The following is a 17,646-nucleotide window of genomic DNA, read 5'->3' as shown; positions in this document are numbered from 1 at the left end:
ATCTCAATAGCCAAAAACCTAGAACAGTTATTCTCTAACAATATTTGAGGTAATCGGTTCCCAAAGCGATTAGTTTAGTGATGTTGCTTATTTAAAGATACGCTTACAGAAACTGTTATCAAAGTTTATAGGATATTCAGTATGGAGGCAAAATTATACATTATTCCTCATTACACTTATTCTCATACAAAATTTCCCCTTCACTTCTGACTGTGTACTTTGTAAATAACTTAGAAGATTAAGAAAACACTTAATGAAGTTACTATCATATACTAATAAAATGGTAATATTTAAAAAATGACTACTTTATCCATAAAATTTCTAGAGCACTTATTTTCTTAAAATAATAAGTTTTTGTGCTTACTGCTGTGTCATCAAAGAGGTTGAGTAAAGAAATAAGAAAGGCTCGTCTGTGTTGGCGGTTTCCACGGATCATGGAGTAAAGGTGTGAACACAAAGCGCTAGAGGACTCGTCTTGTCTGAAACCCCTTACAGGATCTTTTAGGCATGTGTTGATTGCCTGTTGTACCTGGTAAGACATCTTCATACCAGCCACTGCTTTCATCTGAAATCAATAAAAGTCTCATTTTTGTCAGGGAAATTAAAAGACACAAATTAAAAATATACTTAGAGCATTACATTCTGAGGCTAGCTTCATTGTTTTTTTTTAATTAAAATAATACGAATCACAGAATGAAGTGCTAGAAGGAACATTAGAGATTATCTCTTACAATTCCCTCATTTCAAAGAAGAAAAAAAAAATGAGGCCCAGGAGAGTCACTGCAGCCAAGTTCACATAGTAAGATATAAAATCCAGGTTTCCTGATTTTTAGTCTGGTGTGCTTGGTACTGTCACCTCTAGCCCAACCTTAACTTTAGACTAGAATAAACACCTTGGAAGACTAACTTAGTTGCATGTTTAGAAGATAGGTACTAAGTAAGACATTTTATTCCAATTATGAATGTGGGCAGAGCATTTATCAAAGAAATGCTTTACTCAAGAAAAATGTTTAAATTTAGGTTATAAAATGTTAAAATACATACATGAATGAATCCAGCATATTTTTTGTCTATTTCCACAAGTTGCTGATCAGCCTTGTTCCGCATAGCAGGTTCTGGGTCTGTGCCCATAGCAATTAAATATGGCACACACTGGAAATAAAAAAAAAAATTACGAGATATCATGGTAGTAAAAATTCTCTATTTAGACATATGTCAAAACTTTTCATATATCTGAGATATATGAATTTAACCTTATAGGCCTTCCTATAAAGTCTATGTTTTAGTGTTCTTTTTAAAATGACAGATCTTTTGAGATTCAGCTTAAATCCAGAAAGCACTGGAGCACCAGCAAAAATACTGACGTGATAAAATTTAAACAATTTCATTGTAAATTTTAGGTTCTTTAAACATAAAGCATTCTCACACTAAGAATATCTATTTAAGATTATGATATAGACTACAAATGTATAATCCAGTAGTTTTTAAAGCTTGACTGAATTTGCCTTGTAAAGATAATATAGGGCAAACAGTAATTTGTTTTCCATACTCAAAGCTACGAAAATATAATTGTTTTTCAAAGTTGATTTCAGATGTGGCTTTGAGGAACAGAGAGTTGATAACAGTCATATTCACTGTACTTCTAGAGTCAAAAAACAGTACTACTATGTTAAGTGAGTCTGAATTAAAAAGCAATGTGAAGGCCAGAAAAACAACAACAAACCTAACTTTAAAATACAGACATGGCACTAAATGAAAGAAATGATCATGTTAAATCTCGAATCAGGAAAGAAAAAAGGCTGTAAGGTGGGTGCGGTGGCTCATGCCTGTAATCCCAGCACTTTGGGACACTGAGGCAGGCAGATTACTTGAGCTCAGAAGTTTGAGACCAGCCTGGCCAACATGGTAAAACCCCGTCTCTACAAAAACACAAAAATTAGCCAGGTGGTGGCGCACACCTGTAGTCTCAGCTACTTGGGAGGCAGAGGTGGGAAGAGTGCTTGAATCCAGGAGGCGGAGGCTGCAGGTAAGCTGAGACTGCATCACTGCACTCCAGCCTGGGAAACAGAGCAAGATCTTGCCTCAAAAAAAAAGAAGAGGAAAAAGGCTATAGAGAACGCCCTTGGTTAACTAGCAGAATCTGCAAATGAACTGTATATTAGATAATATTGTATCAGTGTTAAACTTCCCAAATTTAATGATTATATTACGGTTTTGTAAGAGAATGTCCTTGTTCTTAGAAAATATATGCTGAAGTGTTTAGTGGTAAAGAATCATAATTACTTGAAACTTCCTACCAAATGATTCAGAAAAAAGCAGATGTATAAAGGGAGAGAGAGAAAGCAATTGTGGCAAAATGTCAACAAATGGTGAATAGAGGTGAAGAGAATAAAGGAATTCATCGTATCACTTTTGCAATTTCTTTGTGTGAATTTTTTTTTTTTTTTTTTTGAGATGGAGTCTCCCTCTGTTGGCCAGGCTGGAGTGCAATGGCACGGTCTCAGCTCACTGCAACCTCTGCTTCCTGGGTTCTCTGCTTCCTGGGTTCAAGCAATTTTCCTGCCTCAGCCTCCCATGTAGCTGGGACCACAGGCATGTGCCACCACACCTGGCTAATTTTTGTATTTTTAGTAGAGACGGGGTTTTGCCATGTTGGCTATGCTGGTTTTGAACTCCTGACTCAAGTGATCCGCCCACCTCTGCCTCCCAAAGTGCTGGGATTACATGTGTGAGCCACTGCACCTGACTCCTTTGTGTGAAATTAAAAAAAAAAGTTTAAAAGGCATATATAATAAAAAGCACCCAACAAAGAACCCTCGGTAGTTTAAAAAGGTGACAGTCTCAATGTACTACTGTTTCATTATAATGTATGATTCTTTATGATAATAGCCCGGAGTCATGAAGAACAGGATAAATATTTGTTAACATGTTTTGTTTCAGGACACAGGGAAGACCACAGTATGTTTAAATAAATCATATTTTTAAAACGTTCCATGAAAAATACCCAAAATAAAAATCTTGAAGGGTATAGACTCTGCTTACTTAATACATACACTTTTGTAGCCTATGGTGCTCTCTTGACCATCAGATGGTATATACTACTACATCAGCATTGGCTGCCAATCTTCAGTAACACTAATGTCTTTATTACGTCGTTGTGTCCTCATATTAATGCTATGAGGTGTCGAGTAGTTGGTGTTATACCCAACTTAAAGATGAAGGAATTGAGTTTATATAATTTACTTTTCTGTGGACTAAGACTCCACCCTGTTGAACAGATTATACTTTTAAACCCAGTTAACTCTCTTCACATTATAGATTGTTGGATCTTAGGGACAAAAGTAAATATGAATTAAAACAAATATATCACCCATACTTAGAAAAATAATTTGAGTATATGTTCTGCCAATAGAAATTACAAGTTTATAACAGAGACAATATTATGAATATATGGGTATTTTGCAGTAATCATAACCCAAGAGATTATCTAAAACTGCCAGATTCTTAAGAGTTTAGTACAAAGAAGAGTAAGAGGAACGAAGAACTACTTATTCTCTATAATCACAATGTATCAAATTACAACTAATCTTGCTCTTTTAGTAAGTGCTGCTGCCATAAAACATGCTTACCTGAACTGGATGAATAAGACCTTGATTTAGAGTCAATGCAATGACATTTAGGGCAAAGTGGCGTACACTTGACTGGGTGTGAAAAAATGCCTCAAGCACCTGTTTGAGATAAAGCTGCATGATGGAACTACTCATCCCTGAGGAAACATCACCCATTTCTTTTAAGTCTTCCTGTTTTGCAACTTTCTTCCCTACAAAAGCAAGCAAAGGATAAACACACATTAAGAGCACCTATACTAACTTTACTAAATATTTCAAAATTAGGCCATAACCAAAATCACAAAACGTTACAGCTAGTGTTCTGGCTCAATGGTTCTTAATCTGTGTGTGAGTGTGTGTGTGTGTGTGTGTGTGTCTGTGTCAGAGGCCCCTTTGAGAACCCAGTGAGAACTATAATCTCTTTCCTCCCTCAAAATGTTAATGTTTACACACATATACAATTTTAAAACTATTTTAGAGAATTTAAGAATATGCTAAAGCCCAGCTATAGACCTCAGCATAAGGACTGCTATTTAACTGAATTTCTTCATCTAACAAATAAGGAAATTTAGATATTTAGATTAAAGAAGATAAAGCCATTATAATATAAATGTAGCTATGAAATTTAAAAATATATTTTCACTTACAGTCTCTATCTGCCTGCTGCATACGTGTATCTTCTTCTTGTAGGTAGGTCTGGAGGTTTTTTAACACTTGTATTTTTAAATTGACTGAGGAGTTCTTATCAGATAAAATATTATTATATAGATTCTTCACTTCTTGCTCGAACATTAGACTTGGATGCTGAATAAAGGCAAATCCTATGGGAGAGGGGAAAAATCTCATCATATATTCATATTAAAATTAAATAAAACATTTAATAAATATGTTAATAAATTATATAAACGGCTCCTTATTTCAAAAAATTAAAACTTAAAATGACTGGAAGAATATGCTGGTGGCCTTACCTAGAGAAGCATTAGAGCAGGTACTTCTTTCCCCATGAATTAAAAACAAGAAATTGCATTTCAAAGGAGAATTTCACACAAGAGGAAACCTTGAGGAGGGAGCAGGGCCTAGTGGCTAGGGGAGTGGATTAGGAGTCAGGAGTCTTGGGTTCTATTCCTGGCTCCACCACTGACTTGTAGTGTGACCTTGGGTGAGTCACATAATCTCTCTGTGCCTCAATTCTCCATCTGTAAAATGGGGATAATAATATTTACCACCCACCTACCTCACAGGGATGTTTTCAGGATTTAAGAAATAATGTCTGCAAACATTTTTCAGATCCCCAGCAGAAGGTACTACATTGACATTATTTTAAAAAAAAAATTAAAATATATTCATTTGATGAAACAATATAATAAACCAGAGCTAAAAATATCTTCCATTTCTTTTTCATATGGCATTATAATAAGGCCACAATGCTGAATCCTATAACCACGGGTTAATAAGTAGCAATATATCATCCATGTTTATTTGTATATAATGTTTATTTGAGGAAAAAATGAAGATCTCTGATGATAGCAAGTATTATTGGTAACAAACAACAAACTAAACTCAAAGCATAGAGTGATCAGATAACTAGCCCAAGGTCACTCAGGATAACTATGGCCCAGGCAAGATGTCTTTTATTAACTGGTCTAGAGGCAATATTTTCTGAATAGCGCTGCTTAAGTTAAAACTTCATCTTTTTGTACTCTGAAATACTTGTAACACTATTAGTTTTGCCACTCCGTATAAATTATGTCCAGACTGAATATCTGAAGGTACACATTGGCTTGAAGTTAATATTGCATCAATTTAACTCCTTAGTAAATGATGTCTGAATTTTTACTCTATGTGCTATATGTAATTTTCAAAAAGGGATGGAGGAGGAATAAAATGATAAGGTTTCAATTTATTTACAGAAATCATAAACATGATTTAATAAGGTATGGGTAAGTTAGAATCTTTTCTTACTCATTTTTGTTCAAAAGACTAATATAAATAACTACTCATGCAGATTAAAGTATAAACCTTAATCATAACACCAAAATAAAATTTCCAAATAAGTTTTTAATCTCATTGGGTAGCTTTACGTGTACAGTCATTGCTCGGTATCCATGGGGGATTGGCTCCAGAACCTCCCAGGGATACCAAAATCCGTGGATTCTCAAGTCCCTGATATAAAATGGGGTAGTATTTGCATATAATCTACTCATATCCTCTCGTATACTTTAAATCTTCTCTAGATTATTTATATCTAATACAATGTAAATGCTATGTAAATTGCTGTTGTATTGTTTAGAGAATAATAACAAAAAAAGTCTGTACATATTTAGTACAGGTGTAATTTTTTTTTCTCAGTATTTTTGATCCTTGGTGGTTAAATCCACAGATGTGAAACCCATGGATATGGAAGGCCAACTGTATTTGTACCAAAAAAAACAACAACAAAAACCAAAAACCTGGACAGACTGTTCTTGTATTTTTTTGAAGTGCATTCAATTCAGGTACTTTAATGCCATTCACCTCCTATTTCCTCATATTCTAATTCCTTCCTAGATATAAGCCACATAGACCTGCCTAACAATTGCAAAACATGTTTTTATTACATCAATCCTTCCTGGAAAAACATTATAAAACAGGTATATATCCAAATTGTTCCTTCTGGGTTGCTTACTATTTGCTTTTATATAAATAAGTCAGTGTAGACTGATCATTGTTTTAACCAGATGTGGCAGCTTCCTGTAGTGACAAAGCTTTGCAATGAAAAAGAACAATTAAAAAAATGCAAAGAGCACAGAATTCTTCTATATTATTTTTCTTTATCAAAGGGCTTTAATAAATGTTCTTAAGATACCCTATGGAGGAGGGGTAGAAGAAAGTATTGTTATCTCTATTTTACTAATGAAGAAACTGATGAACAGACAAATGGCTTGCTCAAGGTTACCCAGGAAGTCAATGGCCATGACAAGAATGCAACCCAGTTGTTTTAATCCTCAGACCTACATTCTATACACCAAATCCTACTGCTAATAGAAACATATTAAAGTAAATCAACAATTTAGATTCACAATATTTAAAAATATGCTCTATCCCTCTCAAATAGCTACAAATTATAAAGAAATTTAGACTTACCTAGACCAATGATAGCTTTTGTTTGTACTTCTTCATCTGAGTGTTTTGTAAAATACATCAATAGTTCAAGTACTTTATCTTTTATGTTAACCTAAGGGGAGGAAAACACATTAAAGTGTTCATGAACAGTAACTTAGATTAATTTTCAACTATAAAGGAAAAAAATACCTTAAAACAATGAGAATTTGTGTGAACTTTATTAAAAAAATAAGTAACCAATTCCATTTATTTTAGAACAGTGGCATTCAAAGTATCAGTCTGTGACAAAGAAGCTTGTTTCGGAATGTAAATCAGTGCATTGTTTCCTTCATTGAAAAAAATTTTTTTTAAAAAGTCAGCTGTTGATGTCAACAGTGTGCTACTGTTACAAAACTGATATAACTTGTCAGGGAAATTTCATTATCTGGTTACACACCAGTAACAAAAAGTTGATGGATTAGCAGCCAGTCTGAGGACCACGTTTTGAGCAGCACTGTTTTCAGAATTTTCATTAAACCAGACTACTCTAATGTTGCCTTCATCCTGGGTCACTACTGTCATTCTCAGATCACAGTGCCATATAGCTCTATGTTTTATAGCATTTTAAGTATTACTACCTTTACCTTGCTGTTGCCTTTAAAATCTTCCAGATCAAAATCAAAATGCCGACATAGTGCTCCAACGGTGAAAAGGGATCTAAGAAGTGCTGGTTTGTTTGTTAGAAGTGAAGTGTTATTTGGGTCCTCTTGGTGTTGACTTTTTAATTTTGAAATGGCACCTAATAAAGATAAGTAATATTTACTTATAATATTTATCTTTGAATTACTAAGTTCAAGTAATTACTACTAATGAATTACAATTTTTTTTTTGAGATGGAGTCTCACTGTCACCCAGGCTGGAGTGCAGTGACATGATCTTGGCTCACTGCAACCTCCGCCTCCCGTGTTCAAGTGATTCTCCTGCCTCAGCTTCCCAAGTAGCTGGGATTACAGTCGTGTGCCACCACGCCTGGCAAATTTTTGTATTTTTAGTAGAGAGACGGGGTTTCACCATGTTGGCCAGGCTGATCTCGAACTCCCGACCTCAGGTAATCCACCCGCCGTGGCCTCCCAAAGTGCTGGGATTACAGGCATGAGCCACTGTCCCCAGCCAATTAATTTTTACTAATGGTTCTAAATATTAAATATGTCTAGAATTATGAGAGTGCTCTTCAGAGTCTAAACTAATGTAAGAAAATTTAAATTTTACTTTTCACAGTGCGCAAAAAATTTACCAATCTTTACTTATCAGGAGATAAATTTCTGAAGTAATCACAGTGGGTTCTTCAGGAAATACAAAAGACACTAGAAAATATTGTTTCTGAGAGGACCACGGTGGATAATCACACCTCATAATTTCCTCGAGTCTAGCCTTTTATCAAATGTGTTTAAAATGAGCTGACCCCCTGCAGGACCTAGCAGAATAATTTTAAAACCCTGGTATTGAACTTACCATAGTATCTATTGAAACAAGCCCACACAAATTTAAAATTTTGTGTCACTTTATTTACAACAGCTCCAAGACAGCTCACACAATGTTGCACTACCTAAAAGATATAGAAAATGTTTAGATAAAAGTTAAAAATATACTATTTTAAAAACTTAGCTTTTTACAAATATTTGCTTTAAAAATTTTAATAAAATACATTAGAACTTTACACTAATGAATAAAGAAATGGTAAACTGAGTGCTTACAGTCATGCCATATTTGATGATGAGCTTCATTAGATCTTCCTCAATAGTGGCAAGAAAAGTTTCACTTGGATGCTCCATCAGTGGTACAACTAGCTCTAGGATTTTTGCAACATTGCAGATAACCATGAAATCATTTTGCGTCTATAAGAATAAAATTAATGCTTTATGAATATCCAAAACCTGAAAAGAAACTATATACAGCTTTACGTATTTGGGGGCAGAAATAGGGCATTTTGCACGTAAAGGTCCAGTTAAAAAAAAAAGTCTGTTAGAGTTTTTTTTTCAAGGTATGGAAGGAGAAGCACCAGCATGTCAGGAATATGTACCGACAACTAACTTACCAAAATGTGACTTTGGGGTCACTTAATCACAATGTTATATTTTTTCCCTAAAATGTAACACAAGTCAATTCTAAACAAAGGTATTTACATATTGACAGCATTATACAAAGACTGGTACAGTTTTTACGATTAGTATTTTCCAAACTGTGTATGTTAACCCAGTAGTTCTCAATCAGGAATAAGCTTCTTCCCCCGTATCCTGACACAGGAGTATTTGGCAGTATCTGGAGACATTTTTGGTTGTCACAATGGGAGCCACTACTGGCATCTAGTGGATAGAGGCCAGGGATGCTGCTTAACAACCTGCAATGCACAGAACAATCCTTGACAACAAAGAATCATCTAGTCCTGTCAATAGTGCTGAGGTTGAGAAACCCTGTGTTAAAATTTTCTATGACAGATAAACATGTAGAATCCCAGAACCAGGCAGAAGGCTTCTTTACTTCTAAGAAACACAGTCTTGCTCAATTGCCCAGGTTGGAGTGCAGTGGCACAATCACAGCTCAATGCAATCCTGCTCCTGAGCTTGAGCGATTTTCCTGACAGTCTCTCGAGTAGCTAGGACTACAGGCGCATAATACCACACCCGGTTAATTTTTTAATTGTCTTTTTTTTTTTTTGAGACAGAGTCTTGCTCTGTTGCCCAGGCTGGAGTGCAGTGGCATGATCTTGGCTCACTGCAACCTCTGCCTCCCGGGTTCAAGCAACCCCCTGACTCAGCCACCCGAGTAGCTGGGATTACAGGCGCCCACCACCATGCCTGGCTAATTTTTGTATTTTTAGTAGAGACGGGGTTTCACCATCTTGGCCAGGCTGGTCTAGGACTCACGACCTCGTGATCCACCTGCCTCGGCCTCCCAAAGTGCTGGGATTACAGGTGTGAGAAACTGCGTCCGGCCTTAATTTTCATTTTTGTAGAGACAGGGTCTCACTATGTTGCGCAGGCTGGTTTTGAATTCCTGGCCTCAAGTGATCCTCCTGCCTTGGCCACCCAAAGTACTGGGATTACAGGTGTGGGCCACCATGCTCAGCCTAGGACTTCTTTATTTTAAATTTAAATGTGTTATTTCTTTGATTAGAAAAACTAATAAGCATGTTTAAAAAAACAGGTAGAGACTTTTTAAAAAAAACCAAAAGGTAGAAAAGGATTTACAATAAAAAGTCTTGTTTCTATCTATCCTCCAGCCACCCAGTTCATTTCCCCAAAGGCAATCAAAGTTATATGTGTGTGTGTGTGTGTGTGTGTGCGCGCGTGTGTGTAGTAAGGCTTTCAATGCATGTTTTTAATCTAGTTTTTTTTTTTCCTTTCTTTTTTTTTTTTGAGACGGAGTCTCGCTCTGTCATCCAGGCTGGAATGCAGTGGCGCGATCTTGGCTCACTGCAACCTCCGCCTCCTGAGTTCAAGTGATTCTCCTCAGCCTCCAGAGTAGCTGGAGGCATGGAAGGAGAAGCACCAGCATGTCGGGAATATGGATCGACAACTAGCCTGCCACCACGCCTGGCTAATTTTTGTATTTTTAGTAGAGATGGGGTTTCACCATATTGGCCAGGCTGGTCTTAAACTCCACACTTTGTGATCTGCCTGCCTCGGCCTCCCAAAGTGCTGGGATTACAGGTGTGAGCCATCATGTCCAGCCTTAATCTAGTTTTTAAGCTACTAATCCTCATTGTTAGTAATGGATTACCGGCATAGATTTTGGACTTTTTTTTTTGACACAGAGCCTCGTTCTGTCACCCAGGCGGAAGTGCAGTAGCACAGTCTCGGCTCACTGCAACCTCCGCCTCCAAGGTTCAAGCGATTCTCCTGCTTTAGCCTGTCGAGGAGCTGGGACTATAGGTGCGCACCACCATGCTTGGCTAATTTTTGTATTTTTAGTAGAGACAGGGTTTCACCATGCTGGCCAGGCTGGTCTTGAACTCCTGACCTCGTGATCCGCCTGCCTCGGCCTCCCAAAGTGCTGGGATTACAGGCGTGAGCCACCGTGCCCAGCCCATTTTGGACTTTTTGAGTGCATTAACACACTAGTTAAAAACATTCCCACCACTTGGCTTGTAGGAGTATTAATTACAAAAAAAAGAAATTCCCACATCATATTCATCCTTCCTTTTAGGATCCCCACAGGATTAAAAAGAAAAGATAAATTCTTTTTAAGTAGCATAGAAATCCTGTTGTTTCCCATAATGAGTTAAAGTGGGTCTAGGGATAGAAGAATTTTTGTTGGGTAAGATATTCATTTGAGAACCAGTGCTAGCATTTTACTTAAAAAAAAAAAAAATGTAGTGGCTGGGCACAGTGGCTCACGCCTATAATCCCGGCTCTTTGGGAGGCCACAGTAGGCAGATCACTTGAGGCCCGGAGTTCAAGACCAGCCTGGCCAACATGGCAATTCCCTGTCTCTACTAAAAATACAAAAATTAGCCGGGTGTGGTGGTGCACACCTGTAAAATCCCAGCTACTTGGGTGGCTAAGGCATGAGAATCGCTTGAACCTGGGAGGCGAAGGTTGCAGTCAGCCAGAAGTGCAGGACTGTACTCCAGCCTGGGCAACAGAGCAAGACTGTGTCTTAAAAAAAAAAGAAATAGGCCGGGCACAGTGGCTCATGCCTGTAATCCCAGTACTTTGGGAGGCCAAGGCGGGGCAGATCAATAAGGTCTGGAGTTCAAGACCAGTCTGGCCAACATAGTGAAACCCCGTCTCTACTAAAAATACAAAAAATTAGCCAGGTGTGGTGGTGTGCACCTGTAATCTCAGCTACTTGGGAGGCTGAGGAAGGAGAATCGCTTGAAGCCAGGAGGCAGAGGTTGCAGTGAGCCAAGATTGCACCATTGCACTCCAGCCTGGGTGACAGTGTGAGCCTCAGTCTCAAAAAAAAAAAAAAAAAAAAAAAAAAAAACCACCACATAACAACAAAAAAGTAGCATTTTCTGAACCTTCCCTTAACATCCTGGCCTGGAAAATCAAGTAAAAGAAATATCTTAAATTCTAGAAGAAAAATTTAAAGAAAGATGGAAACCATTAAGTAAAAGAGCAACAGAACAGAATAGGAAAAAATATTTGTAATGAATATACTATAAGATGGTTTAATATCTAAAATAAAGAGCTCTCCTAAAAAAAAAAGCCTATTATTCAAAGGTAAAATGAACGAATGATATGAAAATGATATAAATAGTGAATTAACAGAAAAGCAAGCCCCACTGGTCAGTACCAAGAAAAGATGCTCAACCTTCTTTGCAGTCAGGGAAGGAAACTGAAGCAATAATGAATTATTCCTTACCACCTGTTAGACTGGCAAAGAATACTAAATAATGACAATGATTGTCACATACAGCTTTCCAAAAGGTTGTATAAAACACATCCACTGCAAAATGGCAAGATCAATTAAAAATGAACACCAAAATAACCATTGTTTCAACCTAGCAAGTCCACTTCTCAGAAACTGTTCCAACAAAATAAAGTCACCAGTACTTAGGTATTTAAATTGGAATGTTTATTTAAAAATTGTTTGTAGTGGTGATCCAAAGGAAATATGTAAACACCTGCCAAATAGGGAAATGATTAAATAAATCATAGGACATCCATAAAATGGATAATATATAGCCATCTAAAACAAGGAATTAGATATATACCAGGTAATGTGAGATTACCAAATATGCCTAACAAATATCTATATAATATGATTCAATTTTTACAAAACCCGGTCAACCATTTATATATACCTCTGTGTCCACAACTATAAAAGTATGTTAAGGATACTCTAAGATGTTTATTCTGAAGGGAAGATGAATAAAGATGGAGATAGGATATAAAAACAAAAATCAAAACCACAAAACATTAAGAAAAAGTTTACCATGTATGAGATACTCTTATTTATATACAACTTTATATTTGTGTACATACATACATAAAAAATGCACAAGACATTTTAAAAGTGATTTTGTTTTAAAAAAATCACTGGTTCAAAATCATGCAAGGACTATTTATGATATAAATAATATATAACAGGTTTCATTATAGTCCAGACTCTACTGGCAGACATGGGGCTGAATTCTAACTTTGGGACTGCTTAGCTCTGTGACATTGGGCCAGTTATTTATATTCTTTAAGCTTTCATTTCCTTATCTGTAAAACTGAGATCATAATAGTACTTACTTCACAAAGTTAATGAGATAATACATGTAAAATTTTCACAGTGCTTGGTACTGTGCTAAAAAATTATTAGCTATTATTAGCCACAATTATTAAACAATTTATTTCTGGATCTAATACGAACCCTAAAGATAGAATTAGTGTCTCAGAAGTAAATGCATGTTGTTTTTAGGTATTTATTATCCTTTACTACTCTCCTCAGTTCTTAAAGTTTTCTCAGGAAGTCCTGAGGTTTTCACCTAGAGCTTGTAATTTGGATAATCAAAAAAACTGACCACAGCAGCAAAACAAATGCAGCAGAGAAACAGTTAAAATTAGCTCCTTAGGAACATTAGGAACACAGTATGTGAGAAACCTTTATATTTGTTAAGTTTTTAGAGTATTTTAAAATTTCAAATTTTTAGCAGTTACTTATACTCTTTAAGCTTCAGTTTCCTTATCTGTAAAACAGAGATAATAGTACCTACTTCATAAAGCAAATGACATTATACATGTAAACCACGTAACTCACTATGCTGTCATATATACTTTAAAATCTTTATTTGATGGATAATTTTACTTAAGCAATGTCTTACTACTCACACCTTATTTTAGAAAAACATAGTGTATGTTAATATTAACAGCCTAACATCTCTGGTATGATATTATAGATTTTCCATATTTAATATATTGTTCTATTATAAAAATAAAATATATTTATAAAATATAAAAAATTAAAAAAGACTGTATGAAAAATATAAAGCATATCAACAATTTCCTTAGGTGCCATAAATGGACCTCTGTTAGAGGCTACTGGCTCTCAATTTTGGAGAATGACCGAGGTTGACTACTGTTCCTTATTAATGTGCATTAGATGGGAAGTAATGCTAGTCTTTGTGTGCTTCAAGCAATGGGTATCAATTTTTATATTTATTATATTATAAATGACAGACAAATGAAAAGTAAATTCAGGACCCAAAAGATAGTAAATTTCTCAAAGAGAGGAACTCTGCTTCATTCATTTTGAGATCTTAACAATAGCTATAACATTTAGTAAGCATCTACTGAGGGTTTGGCTTGAGGAGTTTACAGCAAAATGGAACCTGAACTTTATTTATGTCAGACTTGATGTTTATAGATCACTTGCTACAAATAGTACATATATCTAAGTAAATGACACAGTTGATCTGTCAGTGAGAATGTGGTTGACGCATGTGAACTCTAAATTTAAAGCACTTAATGTTTTATGTAAGATACAAGAATAAGACAGCTCTATACTTACACTACATTTAGTGGTAAGGTATGGTTGCATAGTCATTGCATGTTTAACCATGAGCTGGGGTCTTATTTTGCTGAATAAGAACAAAGTGGTTATGCAAGCTACCAATCTTCCAGAATTCACACCTTTATTGTCAGAGTCTGGAAAAACAAACAGAGAAATAAGACACTAAAATATGACAAGGTAGTGGAAACTATACAGAATATTATTTAAATTACTTAATATTATCCCCTAAATAGGTCCAGTATAGGCCTCAATATAATGAATTAGTAGTTCTTATGATACTAGACTTTCTCCATCTCATTTTTTCTTTGATATAGAAATAATACTCAAGATAAAGAACAAGAGGCCATGCTCTCTATAGAAGGCAAGTTTTATACTAATGGAAATTGGGAAGCTTAGGAATGGGCTTTTGGGAATAAATGTCGTATTGGTTTTATCTAAAATCAATGGGCTGTGTGTGATGGCTCACACCTGTAATCCCAGCACTTTGGGAGGCCATCACAGGAAGAAGGTTTGAGTCTAGGAATCTGAGATCAGCCTGGACAACACGCAAAAACTGCATCTCTACAGAAAAATAAAAAATTAGCCCGGTGTGGTGATGTGCACTTGTAGTCTCAGTTACTCGGGAGGCCGAGGTGGGAGGATTGCTTCAGCCCAGGAGTTCTAGGCTGCATTGAGCTATGATTGCGCCACTACACCCCAGCCTGGGTGACAGAGTGAGACCCTGTCTTTAAAAAAAAAAAAAAAAAAAAAAGGAAGTGAATATGGGAAAAAAAGCAATTTAGCTGAGGTGAAACTGTGTTTAAGGGTACTGGTACAAAAAGACATGTTGTTGCAGTAGAAGAATGTTAAAAAATGGGAGCAACAAACAGAAATTGGAACAATGCTATAAGACAGCTCTAAACAAAATGCTGTTCAGGTGGGAAGAAAATGTTGCTAATCAGGAAATACACTGGTTCTTAGGAAACAAATTTTTAGAGGAAATTAGCAACTTTTTAACATTAAGGGACATCAGTATCACCCCTAAATTCCAGGATGGGGAAAAATAAAAAAACGGAACAAGGAGATAAAAAGAAAAAAAAGAGGTACACATGGAAAAAAAAAAAAAAGACTGCATAAAAAATATAAAGCATATCAACAACTTCCGTAGGTGCCATAAATGGACGGCTGTTAGAGGCTATTGGCTCCCAATTTTGGAGAACAACTGAGGCTGACGTTGTTCCTCATTAATGTGCATTAGATGGGAAGTAATGCTAGTCTTTGTGCGCTTCAAGCAATGGGTATCTATATCTATCTATGTATCTATATATACATATATATATATATATACATATATATATATATATTTTTTGAGACGGAGTCTCCCTCTGTCACCCAGGCTGGAGTGCAGTGGCGTGATCTTGGCTCACTGCAAGCTCTGCCTCCCGGGCTCATGCCATTCTCCTGCCTCAGCCTCCCAAGTAGCTGGGACTACAGGCGCCCAAAACCATGCCTGGTTAATTTTTTTGTATTTTCAGTAGAGACGGGGTTTCATTGTGTTAGCCAGGATGGTCTCAATCTCCTGACCTCATGATCTGCCCGCCTTGGCCTCCCAAAGTGCTGGGATTACAGGTGTGAGCCACCACGCCTGGCCCAATTTTTATATTTCTTAAGTAATCATTTATTTATAATTGATTAAAAAACTTCAGATTTGTGATTGGTAAATAATGTGAGATAATATAAAATATTAAGTACTTAAATAATTTGTGATTTTAAACATTTTAATAAATTTCTAGCTCAAGATTAAGCAAACTTTATGTAACAATTATAAATAATAAATATTAGGAATGTAATATAAATCTTTAAAAAACATTTTTATAATAGCTAAAACAATTTCATTTTGAGACATAATTTTATATGACTTAGGAGATATCAGTTTTGTGATGAGTATCATTAGCTAGATACATATTAGCCCCTGGATTTTTACTCCTATTCAATATGACATCTAAAATTATAATATGCTATTAAAAGATATGTGAAAGAGGTGAGGCCCATGCTTTTATTACAATGCTCTAGATAATCTTAGTCAATCTTAATATAATCTAGGATGCAACATCAAACAGATACCTATATAACAAAAATGTATTTCATTTAAAAGTGAAGTAATCATTAGACAAGCAGAGCCAGAGGCAAAAATGAGAAATTTACTCAAAATATTTAAAAATATCTTATAAAATCAACTAAAGATCAATATATATATAAAATGTCTTACCAGCTAGAGATTCCTCATATTTAAGAATGTGCTCAACTAGGTTATCAACAAGTTGAGTACAAGCTTTCTTCACAGGTTTATATGAGGAATCCTCTTCGGACTTCAACAACTATATATACATATATATATATATATATATACATATATATATACAAAAAAGAAAAAAAAATCCCGGTATAATTATTCATTAGGCAATAATAATATAAACACATTAAAAGTGTCCATAAGTAACATACTTTTCAATTTGTCATTAACAATTTAATACTCAAAGTGCAAATTAATAAAACAAAAATATATATGTTTAAAAATATCTTATAAACCAGTAATTTACCAATACTTTCAAACAATTTTACTACAAAGTACTTAAATTGCTGTGTAAGACCTAAGGTAATACGTGAAAGATGTAGAAAAGATGACCTTCCCTTTCTCCCTATTCCAATCAAAAACACAGTATCACATAATACTAGTTGAATTATTTTAAATAATTAATAACTGCATCTGAATTGCACCTTAAAAGGCAATTATAAAACATAACGGTAGATTTCTTTTCTGCATTATCCTTTGCAAAATCACAAACAATGCTAGAAAAGTGTTATGAATAATGAGATGAGGATAGAGCTCATTCTAAATATAGCTAAAAAGTAAAACCAATCTAATCTTTCATAATCAAAGGTCAACAGAAAAGTCATAAGGTATATCTGTTTTCCTAAGAAAAGCTAGCTAATCTAATTCTGGGGATATTGAAGGAATCTAAATGTGTATTTGATTTCTGTGAAGAGTTCCACTGCTGTTAAATATAACTTTCTCTGCAATAATGGAAATATTCTATATCTTTGCTGTCCAATATGGTTTCCAAGAGTCACATGCAGTTATTAAGCACTTGCAATGTACCTACTGTGACTGAGAAATTAAAATTAAATAAAATAAAAATTGAAATTAAGTTAACATTTAAAAAAATGCATGTGGCTTACAGTTGGGCACAAGCTTGGGCAGCACAAGCTTAAACTTTCCCCACAAGATGCATAAATGATTAAAACAACTGACAGCAACCAGAGTAACATAACACACACACTGCCCCTTTTCCTCCAATTTGAAGAAATAAATAAAGCAGACAGCTTCAATGTACTAGGTTTCAACTATGAACCGCAAATTCTTCCTGCCCCATTCTCTAATTTCCTTAAAGCAGCTATTAATATCACATTC

The 17,646-nt window shown here is 35.4% G+C and overlaps 1 protein-coding gene across 8 annotated transcripts in view; it reads right to left on the bottom strand.

Annotated features, from left to right (window-relative positions):
- The window catches only part of NIPBL (NIPBL cohesin loading factor), a 189,645-nt gene that overhangs the window by 13,483 nt on the left and 158,516 nt on the right, over nucleotides 1-17,646 (bottom strand). For all 8 annotated transcript variants that reach the window (NM_001438586.1, NM_133433.4, XM_017009329.2 and 5 more), the window contains 10 exons: nucleotides 16,444-16,552; nucleotides 14,193-14,329; nucleotides 8,444-8,584; nucleotides 8,202-8,295; nucleotides 7,334-7,488; nucleotides 6,732-6,822; nucleotides 4,256-4,429; nucleotides 3,630-3,820; nucleotides 1,045-1,152; nucleotides 365-565 (listed from right to left, as the gene is read on the bottom strand). In NM_001438586.1, coding sequence (NP_001425515.1) covers nucleotides 365-565; nucleotides 1,045-1,152; nucleotides 3,630-3,820; nucleotides 4,256-4,429; nucleotides 6,732-6,822; nucleotides 7,334-7,488; nucleotides 8,202-8,295; nucleotides 8,444-8,584; nucleotides 14,193-14,329; nucleotides 16,444-16,552 — 1,401 coding nt within the window. The remainder of the gene's footprint in view (nucleotides 1-364; nucleotides 566-1,044; nucleotides 1,153-3,629; nucleotides 3,821-4,255; nucleotides 4,430-6,731; nucleotides 6,823-7,333; nucleotides 7,489-8,201; nucleotides 8,296-8,443; nucleotides 8,585-14,192; nucleotides 14,330-16,443; nucleotides 16,553-17,646) is intronic.

Source organism: Homo sapiens, chromosome 5 (assembly GCF_000001405.40).
Source record: "Homo sapiens chromosome 5, GRCh38.p14 Primary Assembly".
NCBI classification, from domain to species: Eukaryota; Metazoa; Chordata; class Mammalia; order Primates; family Hominidae; genus Homo; species Homo sapiens.
Note: the sequence above shows the minus strand (reverse complement) of the source record. Positions and strands in the feature narration are given on the sequence as shown.